Genomic DNA, 1,714 nt, shown 5'->3' with positions numbered 1-1,714 from the left:
CAATCCTTCCCCATCCACATCCTTTTCTACTTTCTGCTTCCTTCTCCTGTGTGTCATTTTGAAGCAAATCCCAAACATCATGTCATTTCATCTCCATCTGTATCTCTCTATAACATATATATGACTTTCTTTTCTTTTCTTTTTTTTTGAGGCAGAGTCCCGCTCTTTTGCTAGGCTGGAGTGCAGTGGGGCGATCTCGGCTCACTGCAACCTCCGCCTCCTGGGTTCAAGCAATTCTCCTGCCTCAGCCTCCTGAGTAGCTGGGACTACAGGCACGCACCACCACACCCAGCTAATTTTTGTATTTTTAGTAGAGACAGGGTTTCACCATGTTGACCAGGATGGTCTCGATCTCTTGACCTCGTGATCTGCCTGCCTTGGCCTCCAAAAGTGCTGGGATTACAGGTGTGAGCCACCGCGCCCGGCCAATATATATATAACTTTCAAGTTACTCACAAGTCCTGTCAGCTCTATTTCCCAGTTCATTAATTTCATGCATTTCTTTCATCTCCACTGGCATAACCCTAGACCAGATCATGACCCTCCGCTGCCTGGCCCACTGCAAGGGCCTCATTAACTGTCTCTCCACTTTCACCCACTGCTTAAAACCTTTTAGTGGATTCCCATTATCTTTGGTACAAAATCTGAACTCCTTACTGTAGCCCATAAGGCCCTGTGTGATCTGGCCCCTGTCCACCTCTCATGCTACCCTCCCTTAACCCTGTGTTTTAGCTATACAATCTTCTTTCAGTTCCTCATACTCTCACTCCTTTTAGCTTCAGTGCTGTTGAGCTTGTCTTCCTCTTCCTGATATGCTTGCTTTCTTTTCAGCAGTCCCTCCTCCCTCCTGCCTAGTTAATTTTTTAACTCATTGTTTGGTTCTTGTATCAAGCATCCCTTCCCTTATTCATTTTGGTCAACAGCCCTTAGGCCAGTTTGTGATACTGTTCATGACTGTTATTATGGTATTAGTGTCTGCCCATGAGCTCCATAACAGTAAGGATTGTGTCCTTTTCCCTTATCACCACGTGTTTAGCATCTAGCATGTGCCTGGCAAGTAGTAGACACTAAAAATGTGTATGTCAAATAGATGATGAATACCTTTATCACATTTAAGCTTTTAAATTTTTCTATATTTTAATTTAATTTTATAGATGGTGTATCACTCTGTTGTGTAGGCTGGAGTGCAGTGGCTATTCATATGTGTGATTACAGCACTGTGGCCTCGAACTCCTGCCCTCAAGGGATCCTCCTGCCTCAGCCTCCTGAGTACCTGGGACTACAGGTGTGCACCACCAGGCCTGGCTTGTCTATATTTTAAAATTGGCTGTCTCCTCTAGCATGTTAGCTCTACAATGCCAGAGTATATTTTTCTCTTCATGGTAATATCTTCAGGGCCATTTCTAGTGCCTGTTTCAGGGACCACTCAATACACATTTAGTAGATGTATTAATGAAAGGTCCATATCATTGAGAAAGGACCCATATCATTGAGAAAGGACCCATATCATTGAGAAATGTCTATGTCATTGAGGATCTTATACACTAATCTATGGGGTTTGCCTCTTGTCCTATAGGAAATGGGAAAGAGTCACATGGTCAGTGCCATGTGACTTGAATATCCCCTCCAAAACTCATGTCGAAATTTCATTTTCAATATAACAGTATTGAGAGAGGAGACCTTTCAGGGGCAATTAAATTGTGAAGGCTCTGCC

General features: G+C 43.5%; 1 annotated feature.

The window, feature by feature from the left end:
- Positions 853-992: an enhancer, noted in NCBI's record as "active region_6453". NCBI's record gives its function as "activates an Ori minimal core promoter by ATAC-STARR-seq in GM12878 lymphoblastoid cells {active_cell/tissue: GM12878}" and the evidence as "EXISTENCE:reporter gene assay evidence [ECO:0000049][PMID:35858748]".

The sequence above is a fragment of the Homo sapiens genome, chromosome 12, assembly GCF_000001405.40.
Source record: "Homo sapiens chromosome 12, GRCh38.p14 Primary Assembly".
In the NCBI taxonomy this organism is placed as follows: Eukaryota; Metazoa; Chordata; class Mammalia; order Primates; family Hominidae; genus Homo; species Homo sapiens.
Note: the sequence above shows the minus strand (reverse complement) of the source record. Positions and strands in the feature narration are given on the sequence as shown.